Source organism: Homo sapiens, chromosome 5, assembly GCF_000001405.40.
Source record: "Homo sapiens chromosome 5, GRCh38.p14 Primary Assembly".
Classification (NCBI taxonomy): Eukaryota; Metazoa; Chordata; class Mammalia; order Primates; family Hominidae; genus Homo; species Homo sapiens.
This window is the reverse complement of record NC_000005.10, coordinates 16,614,702-16,631,025: the sequence shown is the minus strand read 5'-3', so window position 1 is coordinate 16,631,025 and position 16,324 is coordinate 16,614,702. Positions and strand designations below refer to the sequence as shown.

General features: G+C 46.9%; 1 protein-coding gene and 1 long non-coding RNA gene across 3 annotated transcripts in view, besides 1 other annotated feature; one reads left to right on the top strand and one right to left on the bottom strand.

The window, feature by feature from the left end:
* Positions 1–1,056: 1,056 nt before the first annotated feature.
* RETREG1-AS1 (RETREG1 antisense RNA 1) lies at positions 1,057–15,100 on the bottom strand. The gene is made up of 4 exons (NR_109946.1): positions 14,540–15,100; positions 8,994–9,248; positions 5,270–5,611; positions 1,057–1,572 (listed from the first exon to the last, which is right to left on the bottom strand). It is a non-coding gene; the product is annotated as an RETREG1 antisense RNA 1 (long non-coding RNA).
* Positions 13,786–14,275: a silencer, noted in NCBI's record as "silent region_15947". NCBI's record gives its function as "represses an Ori minimal core promoter by ATAC-STARR-seq in GM12878 lymphoblastoid cells {active_cell/tissue: GM12878}" and the evidence as "EXISTENCE:reporter gene assay evidence [ECO:0000049][PMID:35858748]".
* Positions 14,029–16,324, top strand: part of RETREG1 (reticulophagy regulator 1) — a 143,945-nt gene continuing 141,649 nt past the window's right edge. For both annotated transcript variants that reach the window (NM_001034850.3, XM_011514053.4), the window contains exon 1: positions 14,029–14,374. In NM_001034850.3, coding sequence (NP_001030022.1) covers positions 14,055–14,374 — 320 coding nt within the window. In that variant the 5' untranslated portion in view covers positions 14,029–14,054. The remainder of the gene's footprint in view (positions 14,375–16,324) is intronic.

The following is a 16,324-nucleotide window of genomic DNA, read 5'->3' as shown; positions in this document are numbered from 1 at the left end:
CCCTCCAAATCTCCTGCCACTCCACCACTAGACTTATCTAAGATAAGCACCTGATGATCATATCATTTATCTCCAAAGTCTCCTCCTGGCTCCCCATTGCCTTCAGGATACAGTTCAAACTCTTCAGGATAGGATGGAAGCTCTTTATCTACTAGCCCAAGTTAAGCTGCAGTTCCGAGCTCTGTCTCTCTTACTGCCCCAAGTACCCACCCTCCAGCCATATTTAACTAGTTGTTGATCCCCAAAGACCTCATGCTCATTTCATGCCCTCATGCTTTTGCATGCTCTGTTCCATCTCCCTGCAATGCCTACTGCTTTGTCTGAAAAATACTCTGAACTTTAATCCAAGCCATGGCTCAGAGGTACTCTTTGTTCAGAAACTGTTGCTAGATTCTTGGTTATAATTTTTAGAACATGATAAAGGTCTTATCATAAACCTTATGTAATATATTGAAATTAATATATTTGTATTTCTCAAAAGAAAAGGAACTTTTTGATGGCCCCTGTATCTTGTTCAATAATTGGATCCCTAGTCCTAGTGTTTGTTTAGCTCATAATAACCACTCAAAAAATGCTTGGGAGCCCATTTGTATGGGTTAGATTTTATACCCCTTGAAGGCAGAGACCATATTGTTGTTCATCTTGGTATATCATTCCTCTCATGGGATCTTGCATAGTTGAAGCTCAATATAAGAAATTTGAGGCTGGGTGCAGTGGCTCATGCCTGTAATCCCAGCACTTTGGGAGACCAAGGCAGGTGGATCACTTGAGACCAGAAGTTCGAGACCAGGCTGGCCAACATGGTGAAACCCCTTCTCTACTAAAAATACAAAAATTAGCCAGGTGTGCTGGCCCGCGCCTGTAGTCCCAGCTAGTCGGGAGGCTGAGACAGGAGAATTGTTTGAACCTGGGAGGCGGAGGTTGCAGTGAGCCAAGATCACACCACTTCCCTGCAGCCTGGGTGACAGAGCAACACTTCATCTTTAAAAAAAAAAAAAAAAATTTGAATTTAGAAGATAACCTTTAGTTCCCTGAGAAAATAAAAATACTTCATTTCCTTTTGCTACCAGATATGTCAGCCATTATTGAGATTCCCTGCTCAGTGGTGTCACAATGATTTAAGGTCAAACAAAAGTTTATGGAAAGGAGAAATCGCTGGCACTGAGGGTCATAGTCGTGGGGGAAAAGGAAATAGAAGAAAACAGTCTTCTGAATGGCTCTTTAATAAGAGCCATTTCTATTTCCTATCCTCTCAAACAGTGCTTGAAAAACATTTTTTGTCTTGTTTTGAAAATTTTCAAACCCACAGAAAGTTGAAAGAACAGTACAAGGAACAGCCAGATACTCCTCACGTAGATTCACCATCTAGCTGCAGCGACTTCCTCTATTTATATGCATACGCGTAAAAACACACACACACACACACACACACACACACACACACACACACACACAACTTCCCTTTTGCTAAAGTAGGCGGCTGTCATCATGGCATTTCATGCCTAAATGTTGGATCTTGCATCACTCAGAATAGAGCCGTCCTCTTACATCACCATAACACCATCTTCACACCTGATAAGAGAATCAACATTAACTCAACAGAATGATCTAACATGCAGTCTGGACTCAAAGTTTCCTAATTGTCCTCCAAAATGTCCTTGGTAGCTTTTGACCCAGAATCCAATCAAGGTTGACACCTAGATTTGGCTGTTCTGTCTCTATTTTCCCCATACTCTGCCTCTGCTGTTCTTGATCTCCAAATCTTTGAAGGCCTGTAGAACATCCTGGCTGGGCGCAGTGGCTCACGCTGGGAGGCTGAGGTGGGAGGATCACTTGAGGTCAGAAGTTCAAGACCAGCCTGGGCAACATGGTGAAATACCGTCTCTACTAAAAATACAAAAGTTAGCTGGGCGTGGTAGTGCATGCCTGGAGTTCCAGCTACTCAGGAGGCTGAGACATGAAAACTGCTTGAACCCAGGAGGCAGAGGTTGCAGTGAGCCAAGATCACATCACTGCACTCCAGCCTGGGGGACAGAGCAAGGCTCTGTCTCAAAAAAAAAAAAAAAGCCAGGCGCAGTGGCTTGCGCCTATAATCCCAGCACTTTGGGAGGCTGAGATGGGCAGATCACCTGAAGTCAGGAGTTCAACACCAGCCTGGGCAACATGGCGAAACACCGTCTCTACTAAAAATACAAAAAATTAGCTGGGTGTGGTGGCACATGCCTGTAATCCCATATACACAGGAGGCTGAGGCAGGAGAATCGCTTGAACCTGGGAGGCACAGGTTGCAGTGAGCTGAGATTGCGCCATTGCACTGCAGCCTGGGCTAAAAGTGTAAAATTCCACCTAAAAAAAAAAAAAAAGAACAGCCCACATTCCAGAGTGCTCTGACCATCTGGCCAGGATTTGATTCAGGTCAGATGCTTCCAGCAAATTGTGTTATGGGTGTCCCTCCCATGGCATCAGACCAGGGATTCACAGGGTCAGGTTGCTCCAATAATTGTCATGGCATGCATGATGGGAGGCAGATGAGGTGAAGGCTGACAGATGGCAATGCAAAGGCACGCTTTTGCCTTTGTAATTAAGCAGTAACCTGTGAGATTCTGTAAGCAGCCTTTCCCCCACAGTCTTTTCTCCCAGTGGGTGATATTATTCATTGATGATCATTGCTTGAATCAATTATTACTCTGAGAGTTACAAAATGGTGCTTTCCTAAATCCAAAATTTAGCCTACACATGCTAGATTGTAATTTTTTATAAAGAAGAAAGTGTTCTTTTTTTTTTTCTAGACAGGGTTTCACTCTGTCGCCCAAGCTGGAGTACAGTGGTGAAATCATGGCTCTTTGCAGCCTCGACCTCCAAGGATCAAGTGATCCCCCAACCTCAGCCTCCTGAGTAGCTGGGACTATAGGCACATGCCATCATGCCCAGCTAATTTTTATATTTTTTGTAGAGATAGGGTTTTGCCATGTTGCCCAGACTGGTCCTTTCTGTCTTTTGAGAATCACTATAGAGTCGTGAAATGTTAAAAATGCAATGCATTACAATCATTTCCCAGGATTTTTTTTTTTTTTTTGATCCTCAAAGTTTCTCAGATTTGGTCAGTGGGATCCTTTCCAAGCTGACTTCTGTATTTTTTTGACATGGACTTTTAAATGGTCTGTGAACACGTCTTTGCTTTCTGATACACAAGATGTTCCTAACTCTGACCTAGTATTTGCCAATTCTCTAAGGAGCTCTGGTTCTTTTTGGCAGGCAATAGTATTCAGAAACCAAAACCTGGTTCCTACATAAGCTTATTGCTATGGGGCATTATTGATTCTAAGCTTTTCCAGGGACACAGCTAGAGTATCAGATCATGATCTCCCACTTACTGATAGCTCCAATTCAAATCCTACACTACAGCAGTAACAGGGTTCTCTACCTGCCCTCCCTCCCCCATCTTATGTTCTAGATCCCTTCACTGAAAACCCACATTAAAAGCAAGAGGTAAACACAATCCTCAATGGTCTGAGTTTGGAGCTGGGACTCTCACCCACTGGAGCGGCAAAGGGAGGTGGAAGGAAAGATTCCCTTGCCAGTCGGCTTGATTGTACCTCAGGCATCTGGCTGCTAGTGCCTTCTTGGAGTGGGCAGACTTTTATAGAGAAAGAAGATGGAAATTGTCCAACTGGATGTTATTAAAACATGCACCTGTGACCCAATTCTTCAGAAACCTACCTGTGGACTTTTAACATAAAATCAGCTTTAGAAGATTTTTTACTGAAGAATTAAGGACAAAGCTGCTTTTGTAGCTTTGTCCATCAAACAACATTTTTCCAACAGAAAGCTACTTGGCTCATGACCCCTGGAGAAATGGCCCCTTTAGCTATTTCCTCTGAACAGAGTTCTCTGCAGAGAGCTGTGGTTAAACCACCCATGAATGAGGCTGGTTTCTCTTTCTGGCTTTGTACACTGCAGAGAATTGTTTTGAAATTCGATGACACAAACTTTGGTATCAGTTGCAACAGTTTTTCCATGTGGCCCAGGTCTTCTCAAGAGAAAGTCATTATAAAATGCTTGGGTTCAGGGTACAAATTCTCACAGAGATATTCTGCCACTGGGTCTCCCACTGCGGTTATTCCAAGTAATTCCCACAGCAGTCTCGAGGGTTAAATGTTAATTGTTTTAAAGACGAGGTCACCGAGACCCAGAGAGTCTGTGTCACATAACACAAAGTCACAGGCTACTATGCTTTGTTGAATCTAAGATGCTTAAGATTCTAAAGTACATTCCATTTCCAGGTATGTTAAAAGTGAAAAAAAATGTGTATGTCTTATAATCAGTGAAATACAGTGGGTAGTGATGGATCTAGGGTCAAATTCAGATCCTCATGACTAAGAAACCCATGCTTTTTCCACTTGATTTAGGGTTCATGCAAGAAGAGCAAGCTGAACTGCAGATAGAAGATCTGGGCTTCCAGAAGGTTGAAAAGACAAGGAAAGATAGTATAGCATGAGCAACAGCATGGATGTGAAAGTTTGCTTGGAGAGTGAACTCAGAGATGAGCTAGTTTGACAATAGCCGAGTGTTCACATTTGGGAGCAGTGAGAAATGCAGCTTTTAGAAAGAGATTTGTCGGATGAACCAGCTTTAGAAGGCGGCTGGTGATTTCTTTTAGGTGTAGCAGTTCTAGGAAACTGGGCATCGTTGTAAGCGCTTGGGGGTGGATGCTACAGGTTGAAAGCACTGTTTTAAAGGAGAGGTGTACAGGGAGGATTGGAAGAGGAGATATGAGGCTGATGCAGTTCAGATGGATGACAGGCACTGAAGCTTGAACAGGGATGGCAGCCTTGAGACTGGAGAAAAAGGGCTAGGTGAGGTGAGAACACTTCAGAGAAGGAGTTATCAGCAGCTGTTGATAGGTTGGAGATGAATGCGGAGCCCATATAATTTCTCATCCAAACTCGGACACCTCTGAGAAAGAAAGTGAAGCACTATTAATAACCATGCTAGAAGGTGGGCATCAACCAGCACTGTCTTGGGCAAACTTGATATACAGCTGGTTACTGCAGATGAGAGAATGAAGGAGAGATCAGAATCAAAACTGCTCCAATATTTCTTGTTTGGGGGACTTTGGGTTACTGTAGTTCACAGAGCTGTTGCAAATGCCACCTCTTGTACAAAGAGTCTCTGTGATTTTCCCCCATCCTCCCCAAAAGAAGCTGTGAGGAATCAAACAGCCGTCATGGTATGGGTGAAGGAACAGACTTTATTGGGGGAAACTTACAAGCCAAGGTTGGAAAGAGAAGGCATCCGATACTCCTCCTAACCACACAGAAAGGTGTGGGCCACAGCCAGGATGTTCTTGGAGACCCTCGGATGGACATGCCAGGGAAGGAGGCCCTCCCCTCCAACTCTCTGCCACCTCTCTTCTTTATAGGATAAGAGCAAGAACAACCTTGTCAGCAGGAGAACAGTCTACAGGTATATTAGATGTCAGCAGATTGCAGAAGGTGTCTGGGAAATCCAGCTGCCCAGTATTTGGAGAATCTGAGGGCTCATTGGAAGCTGATTTTGGAAGGAGACCCATTGAGCCTGTGGGACCCTGGTTTAAGTGTATCTCTTCTCCCTGGAGAAAGAAGAAAGGCCTTCTGTCCTATCCAGGACCTTGTCCAGGCAACCCAGAGTGAGCCCCCGTAGGCCTTTTATGGCATAGTTCTGCATGTGACACCAAAGTACTTGGTTTAGGGCAGGGGAGGGGCAGGAGTGAGAGTAAAAATAGGGAAGTGTGATATTGCGATATAAAAAGAAATACATATTTGGTCATCCTCCCTGGTTCCTAGCACAGAGCTTTGAAAACCCTTGGAATTTCCTGAGTGACAGAGATGAGAAGAGCATCATTTATTTTTCATAAGTCCCTGTCAACTATTCTTGAGTTTACACTTACGATTCTTCCTTGGTCCCTAGATGGTTTCATGATGGGGGCTGGTGGCCCGAGGAACTGACCTTGTGATTACAAGGTTGGAACATTCGGCCCCACCCCCAGGTCCCCTGGGGAGAGGAGAGGGGCTGGAGGTTTTGGAAATCACTAACAGTCAAATATTTAATCAATTATGCCCATATAATGAAACCTCCATAAAAACCCTTACATGAAGGGGTACAAGCAGCTTTTGGGAGAGTGAGCAAACGCATCCACGTGCCAGGAGGGTGGCACGCTCCAACTCCCCAGTGGGGCTGAAGTGCCCATGTTCAGGACCCTTCTGGACCTTGCCCTATGTACCTCTTCATCTGCATGTTCACTCGTATTCTTTATAATTTCCTTTATAATAAACTAGCAACAGTAAGTAAACTGTTTTCCCTGAGTTCTGTGAGCTGCTCTAGAAAATTATTGAACTTGAGCCAGGAGTGGTGGCTCATTCCTATACTCTCAGCACTTTGGGAGGCCGAGGTGGGAGGATTGCTGGAGCCCAGAAGTCCAAGACCAGCCTGGGCAACATAGAGAGACACTGTCTCTAGAAGAAATACAAGTTTAGCCAGGTGTGGTGGAACACACCTGTGAGCCCAGTTACTCTGGAGGCTGAGATGGGAGGATCACTTGAGCCTGGGAGGTGGTGGCTGCAGTGAGCCATGATCGTGCTACTGCATTTCTGTCTGGGTGACAGAGTGAGACTCTGTGTGTGTGTGTGTGTATGCGTGTGTGTATGCGTGTGTGTATGCGTGTGTGTATGCGTGTGTGTATGCGTGTGTGTATGCGTGTGTGTATGCGTGTGTGTATGCGTGTGTGTATGCGTGTGTGTATGCGTGTGTGTATGTATGTATCTATCTATCTATCAAGCTTGAAGTGGGAGTCATGGAAACCTCTGATTTATAGCCAGTCAATCAGAAGTATGGGAGGTCCAGGACTTGTGGTTGGCATTTGAAATGGGGGTAGTCTTGTGGGGCTGAGCCCTTAACCCACGGGAGCTGCTGGGTTAGACCAGGTAGTGTCAGAATTGAATTGTTTGATACCCAGCTGGTGTGCAGACAATTAAATAATTGGTTATTGGTATGGAAAAACTCACATATTTGGTGCCAGAAGTATTGGGAGTAAAAGCAGTTCAGAGTGTCAAAGGACAACCTTATCACAGGTTTAGTTTTAAGATCATAATTGACGGCCGGGCACGGTGGCTCACGCCTGTAATCCCAGCACTTTGGGAGGCCGAGGCGGGTGGATCACGAGGTCAGGAGATCGAGACCATCCTGGCTAACACAGTGAAACCCCGTCTCTACTAAAAAATACAAAAAATTAGCCAGGCGTGGTGGCGGGCGCCTATAGTCCCAGCTACTCGGGAGGATGAGGCAGGAGAACGGCATGAACCCAGGAGGCGGAGCTTGCAGTGAGCCGAGATTGTACCACTGCACTCTAGCCTGGGCGACAGAGTAAGACTCAGTCTCACAAAAAAAAAAAAAAAAAAAAAAAAAAAAAAAAAAAAAAATTTAATTGACTTTATTTGTAATTCCAGAATCCAGCAAACTTCATTCGATAGAACAGAACAAGTGTTCCAACGGGCTGAGTAGAGGAGGGTGGTTTCATCCAGAGAAAGCTGAAGAAAGCAGGGACAAAGACCGAAAAGCAGATTGGTCATTTCAAAGTTACTTTCCTTGCAAGGTGGAAATGGGGAACAGAACAGTAGAGAAATAACTGATTGGTTAACATCAGGTCACTTTCTCTTGGAAGGGAGAGAGTAGAGGAAACTTCTTACCATGCAAATTGAAACTGGCCTGTTTGGGAAATTTGGCTTTCTCTGTCTCCGGATTGTTCTGGATTACTCTGGAGGTCGGTTAACAACTCAGGTTTGGCTTGGCAATGTGGAACCTCAGCATGAGTGACTTCATTCTGACTTTTGGTCTGGTCTGCTGGGGCCTAGTGCAGGAGCTTAGTTCAAAACAGTAGCCTCCTGGCTGGTCTGAAGGTAGTGAGTTACCTCAACCGATTGTTCGCAGTCAGTTACAGATCAAACCCCTTGTTCAGCTCTTTCCACCCTTCTCACTACTGCACTCACAACAACAGCAACAAACAATGGCCTCCTATATTTTTTTTTTTTGAGAGAGGGTCTTGCTCTGTTACCCAGGCTGGAGTGCTGTGGTGCGATCATGGCTCATTGCAGCCTCCACCTTCCTGGCTCAAGCAATCCTCCTACCTCAGCCTCCTGAGTAGTTGGGACTACAGGCGAATGTTTTTTGTAGAGATGGGGTTTCATCATGTTACACAGTCTGGTCTCCAACTCTTGAGCTCCAGTGATCTGTCCCCCTCCCAAAGCGTTGGGATTACAGGCGCGAGCCACCACACCTGGCCATCCTCCTCTAATTTTTATTTAGCAAGAGGTAGAGAGAGCATCCATTTCCAGTGAATTAACCTACAAGCACATATACTGAACTGTGAACTATAATAAGTAGAGCCGTATTTCTTGGATGGTTCGGGAGACATTCGGGTTTCACAGTGCTTATGGGTTCCCCATAAGCAAACACCCGACTGCAGCATGTATGCATAACCGAAGAGTGCACCCGTGACATGGTCTGACTGCAGGGCCTGCAGCCATTTTCAAAGCCTCAAGCATCGCCAGATTTTGTGCCTGATTTCTAATGAACTAAAATTAGTAACAGGTGACAAGCCAAATATACACTTGGAAGGGTTGTGGGATGTCACTTTCATTGCTATTCCATTGCATTCCACTCATCTATTTTTAGCATGGAAGATACCCCCTTGAGACTGGAGGCCTGATTTGGAGACCTGAATTTAGAGAGAATCACAACACAGTTTTGCTTCAAGGATGGAAGTCAGGCTGGAGTTTCCAGGACCTCAGGACACTACTGCTTTGATTCTATCACTTCCTTGGTAAAAACAAACAATAACAACACAGAAACCCACAAACTCTAGGAAATCTCTACTGCTCAAAGTTTTTTTCTAAAATTCTGTCGCTGATACTTAAAACTTTTATTTGATCTATTTATTCAAAAGTCTTATCACATACCATGACCCCATGCAGTCGCATGGAACTGGCCAGCGCCTTTGAACTCTTCTTGGTTGTGCCCTCTGCCAAGTTCTCCTACAGGCCATTCCGTCTGCCTGGATCTGTCTTGTTCAGGATGCCTGCTGGTCTCTGAGCTGCAGACCTCTGTACCCAACAACCTTACTGGCATCTCCAGAGATATCCAAGTGCAGATCAATTTTTAAAAATGAAACTTGTCAGCCTCCCTTCCAGACTGGCTCCTTCTCCTCCCTCATTCTAGAGAATGACAAGGGAAAAGTCTCTGAGAGTGCCTTCCCTCTGCCAGGCTTTATATCCTCCATGGTCTGGAGATACCTTTCTAAAACACAGGCTAGCCCCTCTGTGTCCTGCTGCAAGCCCACCCATGGCTCCCTGTTGCTCTCAGGACAAAGCAGAAGCTTCTAGCATCATACAGGAGGAGCCCCACTGTGAGTAGCCTCCTGCTCCTCCCACCCCATCCTCCAGCTTAGATCTCCTCCAGGTTTCCAACCAGGGCCAGGCTGGCTCCTCTCCTGCTTCCAGACTGTGCACACCATGCTTCCCCATTCCCTTTGCCCAGCGCCTTCTTCAGGGTCTTTATCCATTGTCTATACTCTAAGCACCATGAGAGAAATAAGCAGTCCTGTTCATCTTACCAGAAGCCCACAGTCAGTCTTTCAGGAATGGCTGATGACTAGTGAATGAAGCAATGAAATAATGAGTGAATGATACGCAAGTACAATGATGCAGAACCAGGACCATCAAAGGGGGTGGGGGGAAGAGGTTGCAGCAAGGACCCGACAGTGCTTTGTCTGCTGGTTCAGATTCCTGTTGGGAAGGGGTTGGAAGTTAATGTCCTGCAGTCACCCCTGTGGATCATAGGTGTGCGTGTGTTTGTGTGTGTACCTGGGGATAGACAGGTAGGCTTCCTTGGGGGATATACTCATGTTGTCATGTGACCTCCGTTCTTTTCAGTTAACCATTTTGAAGCCTTAAAAAAAAAACTTCTTTTAGGTATTAGGGAGCAATACCCCAACTGATATCTGGGTGGCCAACATCTTGGCCACCATCTTTCTGGTAAGCACATCCCTTATGGAATGCTTGTCAAACACAGACTATGCTAGTTTGAATATTTCCGTCTGTATATGCACAACAGACATTCAACATAAGTAGAAATAGTGAATTCCTTCTGTGAGCCAGGCACTGGGCTGGGCCTTGGAAGCCAGGTTAGAGACCCGGGAGATGATCTTCCTTCCTTTCCAATTGCTCTGTGCCTGCTGATGCTGTATGATACTCTTATTTATCTGTGCTTAGAGTGAACTATCCAGGTTTTCTTAGTGAGAAGAAAATTATGGAAACTTAGGAATAAGGAGCAGAGGATATAGCAAGGGGAGGAGGGTAGAATTAGTTTAATAAAAGTACCAACACAAAAAAAATTCTATCTGCAGGCTAATAAACGATACAACATATACACAAGTGTATTAGTTCATTCTCATGCTGCTATGAGGAAACACTTGAGAGTGGGTAATTTATAAAGAAAAGAGGTTTAATTGACTCACAGTTCCGCATGGCTGGGAAGGTCTCAGGAAACTTACAATCACGGCGGAAGGCATCTCTTCACAGGGTGGCAGGAGAGAGAATGAGTGCTGAGTGAAGGGAGAAGCCCCCTTATAAAGCCATCAGATCTTGCAAGCACTCAATATCACGAGAACAGCATGGGGGAAACCGCACCCATGATTCAATTACCTACACCTGGTCCCACCCTTGACACGTGGGGATTATTACAATTCAAGGTGAGATGTGGGTGGGGACACAGAGCCAAACCATATCAACGAGCCTCCTTTTGTTTAAGGAATCATGGAGCTACTGTAAGATTCTAATATATAATATTGTAGAGAAAAGAAATTTCCCCAAAATATTATGACTAGGGGGCTTTTCCCCATCATTCTAAGTCTTAGCTTGATTTTGCCCTAGGAGACTTCCTATAGTGGGAATTAATTATTCATAATTTTTCCTCTCCTATTACAAGCTTTCCACATACTCTTAGATGAGAAAAGTGAGTGGCCTCTGTTAGAGAGTTCTTATGTGCATTTGGACTTTCTTTACTGGAGCTGTCTCATTTTCTAAACTCTCATTCAGTAGCTAGAACTTTTTTTTTTCTCAGACACGTTTCCAGTTTCCTTTTCTCAGATATATATTGTCAAATCATCTAGCTCACTAGTGTTAATCACTCTGTTCCTAATATATAGCAATAAAATTTCAGAAGAGAATCTTAGTAAGATTACTTGCAGGAGTTCAAGAATGTGGCGTGTTCTTAAAACTAGGGGACAAGGTTGATTTCAACCATTGTTAGCATTATGTTTCTGTAATCTTAGCCCTGAATAAATTACTCAAGCATCACAAAGATCATTAGACAAACAACAAAACAACAACAAAATCCCACCCAGCAGCACCATTTGTATGTCTATGCCAGTGTCTACTTCTGTCATACAGTTTGTAAGTATTAGAGGTCGGAGGTGAAAAGGAAAGGTTAATTAGCCCAGCCTTTTATGCAAAACAGGTTGCATAGCATTTTCTCCATAGTAATTTTGAGAGAGAGAGAAAGGATAGACTTTACAACACATAGCTGTGGGGAAGGAGGTTTATTATTAAACAGAGATAATAAATAAGTGTTGGAAACCACACACAGCAACTGGAGCTTAGCTTTTATGTGTCTTGGTTGCCAGCAGCTTTTACTACTTCAACAGATCCTGACAACAATAATTAGAATTCAAGGGAAGCAGGAGGAAGGTGATTAATCTTGCAAACCCATTTCTGGTAGCACATCAGCACTGGTCTGGGGAACGGGGACACCTGGTTCTTCCTCTCTCCTGCCCCATGTTCTCCACACTGGCTGCAGCACACATCTGTCTAGTGACAGATTTTAGAATAGCAAACCCTGGGCTGTATCAAGCGCCAAACAAAGGCCAAATGACACAATAAAAGCATCATTTATCTTTCAAAAACTTCTCCGCTACTGCCAAGAGGGAGGACCCACACCTGGGAAAAGATTGTCTCTCTTATATGGAAGAAACCTGAATTGTTTCCACGTTGCTTTTTCCTTGACACCCAGGCCACTTTCCATCGGGTTGTCAGGATACTCCTAAGAAGGGGAGTCGGAAATGCCAGATGTTCTGTATCACCTTTAGTTAAAAACCAAGCCTCCTGTTACTAGAGACCATTCAATGTCCACTATTCCCTTTGGTGAGTTACTTAAGGAACTGTGCGTCTCCACCTGCAACCCCATGCCTCCTCTCCTGTTGAATTCCCAACAGCAGTTATTGCCCCTGTCCCCAATCCCCACACTAATGGGGGCCCTACAATTTAGGGCAGAGGCCATTTATTACAAAACGCTCTTGAAACCTGATCCCTCCACTCCTCCCCTAATTTTGGATGCACAGTTTAAGTAAGGAATCTCTTAGCACTTAGCGAAGGCTTCTTCGCTGTGGCAGATATCACAATTGTAACTGGGCCCTCATCAGACTGGGAGCTTCCTGTGGGTGGAAGCTGCATCCACAGAGCTTAGCAATGCTTTGTGTACTCGGTAGGTGCTCAGTAAGCCTTTGCCTGGGCTCTGGGAATATAACTCCTTTGAAGTACAACATACAAGCAGTAAAGTGCAGACACCTGCAGTGAATGTACAGATCAATGGATTCCACGTGTGTATACACAGAGGTTTACAATGGCCACCCAGAGGAGCGTTACAGAACATTCCCCTAGAGACTCCCTTGACGCAGGGAATTTAATTGCCCTCCCTTCCATCCTGTGCAGGCAGGCTGGTTGCCAGTAAAGGGATATGAGATGCCCTGATGCATCCGCAGACAGAACCCTTAGTATGGGGGGGAAGGACCTGTCATTCTAGAGTAAAAGTAAGACCAGGAAGATTAAAGAAGACAAAAATTTAAAAATGCAAATGGTGAAAAGCATAAACAACTATTTTCCTCTCTCCCCACACTCACCCAGAAGCACCGGGGCCAAAGAGAGGGCATGGGAGGTCTCAGGATCCCCTGCCGCCCCACCACTGCCCTGATGCCCGCTTGTGACGCAGAGACCGGAGTGGCTCTGAAATTACTGTCTTCAAAGCAGGCCAAACCTTGCTTGACACGTGCAAAGTTCCAATCTCTTGCTTCTCAGCTCCCCGCACGCGCGGGCCAACGTGCACTTCTGAGCCAGATCACCTAGCCACAAGGAGGGGGAGAGAGGGGGAGATAGGAGGAGAGAGGGGAAGATAGGGGGAGAGACGGGGGAGAGAGAGGGAGAGGCAGAGAGAGAGAGAGAGACAGAGAAGAGAAAGGAAGCACCTGAGACAGAGAGAAAGAAGAGAGAGAAAGGAAGCAGCTTCCCCCAACGCTGCGGCCTTGTGTTTCCTCCCGTGTCAAACGAGAGGGCCCCAAATTGACCCCAAATGTTTTTTCTTCCTTTCTCAATCCAACATTTATACCAGCACGTTATTTCCAGGATGCCCAGGACCTCTGCTATGGTTGTGCTGCTGTCCCTGCAAAGGCGCTGGGGATGGCCGAGGTGGGGGATGTCTCTGGGGGCTGAAATACGCTGCCAGGGGAAGGGGCGCCCCGATACCACCCTCAGTGGCTGCTGGTTGGGCGACCGGTGGCCCTGGCTTGAGAAAGTGAAAATGTCCAATCTATTTTGCCTGGAGCCTTGGGTCTCTTTTGGATACGGAACCGAGCAGCAGTCCTCCACTTCGCCCTCTCCCGCCGCTGCAAGGGAAAAGGTCGTTTTCCTCGAGTCCCGGAGAGGCCCTCCAGGAACCCAGAGCCCCCCGGGGACACCGCCCAGCTCCCGGCGCCCGGCCCCGCCCCTGCGCGAACTCGGCCGCACCCACTTTCCCGGGCGGCTCCCCCTCCGTGGCCTGTGGCGTCACAAGGCCCCCAGCCGCCTGTGCCCCGCGGTGCGCGCCCCGCTCCGGGACCTGCCGCCACCGCCGCCCCGCCCTCGGCGGCACCCACACCCAGGCGCGCCCGCGCGCGCGCCCGGCCCCGTCCCTGTCTGGAAGCACAGCTGAAGATGGCGAGCCCGGCGCCTCCGGAGCACGCCGAGGAGGGATGCCCGGCTCCTGCCGCCGAGGAGCAGGCGCCGCCGTCGCCGCCACCGCCCCAGGCATCCCCCGCAGAGCGGCAGCAGCAGGAGGAGGAAGCGCAGGAAGCTGGGGCGGCGGAGGGCGCGGGGTTGCAGGTGGAGGAGGCCGCGGGCCGGGCGGCGGCCGCGGTAACCTGGCTGCTCGGGGAGCCGGTGCTGTGGCTGGGCTGCCGCGCCGACGAGCTGCTGAGCTGGAAGAGGCCGCTGCGGAGCCTGCTCGGCTTCGTCGCTGCCAACCTGCTGTTCTGGTGAGAGCTTGGGCAAGGTGGGGGCGCTGAGGAGGGCAGGTGACCTTGGGGCGCCCGGGGCCCCGGGGACCCAGTGCAGGGGGAGCCCGCGGGACACTGCGGAGGAAGAATTGTCAGCCCTGCCCCACTTTCTCGGCCACCTGTCTCGAACAGGTAGACACTCACCGCAACTTTCCTCCGGACGCACGTCCCTGTGAGCAGTTGTCGTTCTCCGTGTGCGGATCCAGCCTCAGATGCGAGGTGGTCGGCCGACCCTCAGGCACCTGCACCTACAGGTGTTCCCATCGTGCTTGAAAACTTCGCCCCTGCTTTCTAAAACTCTGAGGTCTTGACCTGCTCGCCCAAGCTTGCCGGAGCAAACGTGCTTGAACGTGTCTTGGTTCTTGCAGCCCCAGCAGGCATATCTGGACCAGATTAGGTACCCGTTCAAAACGGTGCCGCATTCATCAGTCACCTGAGATGGGCCCTGAATGATTTGTTTTTTCCTTCCCCTGGAGCGTTAGGTTTACTGTGTTTACTCCCTGATGAGAAAACGGGAGGCAAACAAGCAGGTGGAGTATGCCCAGCACCCACCCCCGGGTGTGCACAGTGTGGAAAACAGGCATATTTTTAGGTGAAGTACAGGGAGAACACACGGGAATGCTCAGCCCCTGAGCAACAGGTTTGTCTCTCCAAAAAGCGCTCTTCAGAAAGGCCAGGGAAATGTCTGTCTCCTTCGTTGAAAGTGGTGTCCTGTCATCCGTTACCACGCTATTGAGGGCGGAGAAAAACCTTCTTTGTTTGCTAAGTGTCCTCATAACAAACATGACCTACACAGTGCAGAATAATCAGACTCCGGTAACAGATACCTTGTTACAGGACAGAGATTTCTGAACCTTAAAGTTGAGAAATAAATAAATTGCACAAAATAGACAGCCTGTCATTTTCTAGGTTAACTTGAGCAAGATGAATATTTTCCTCAGATCTCTGCTAGTCCTGGTGTTTTCTCTTAAAACTAGCTGTATCTTGTCGGAGGTCCCTGAAAGTGAATTAACTTTGGATCTCTTAGGTATCTGTGTTTGGAATAGAGTTTATTCCAAATCTATCTTATTATGGAGTGAATGCGAGCACTCAAATAAGAAGGACATATTGTCTTATGCTAGATTGGGCAATAGTCTAATAGTCTTAGGGCTGTGTCTCACTAATGTTTACGATGTTTTTAACATTTTATTTCTTTTTCTTTTCTTTCTTTCTTTCTTTTTTTTTTTTTTTTGAGATGGAGTCTCACTCTGTCGCCCAGGCTGGAGTGCAGTGGCGCGATCTCGGCTCGCTGCAAGCTCTGCCTCCCGGGTTCACGCCATTCTCCTGCCTCAGCCTCCCGAGTAGCTGGGACTACAGGCGCCCGCCACCACGCCTGGCCAGTTTTTTGTATTTTTTTTAGTAGAGACGGGGTTTCACCGTGTTAGCCAGGATGGTCTCGATCTCCTGACCTCGTGATCCGTCCGCCTCGGCCTCCCAAAGTGCTGGGATTACAAGCGTGAGCTACTGCGCCCGGCCTTAACATTTTATTTCTTAATTTTAAATTTTATTTCTTTAAAAAACTAATACAGTCTCACAGTGCAAAAGTTTAAAGGTACAAAAGGGTAAGCATTTTGAAAATCTCTTTCTCATCCCAGTCCCTGGCCGCCCAGTTTCCTCACGGAGGCCAGCAATGTTGCTAGTTTCCTGTGTCTCTTTCCAGATAGTGCACATTTCAGCAAATACACCATATTCTATGCAAATTGTGGAATAACATATGAGCTCTTCCTTTTCCTAGTATTTCTTGGTGATTGCTTCCTTGTTCTTTTTCAGCTGCTTCAGAATTCTATTGTAAGGATGTCTCAAATTACTTAACCTGTCTCCTACTGAGGCAGTAATGTTTCCAAGCTTTTGCTATTTCAGCATTATAGCTAATGACCCTGTACATGCATC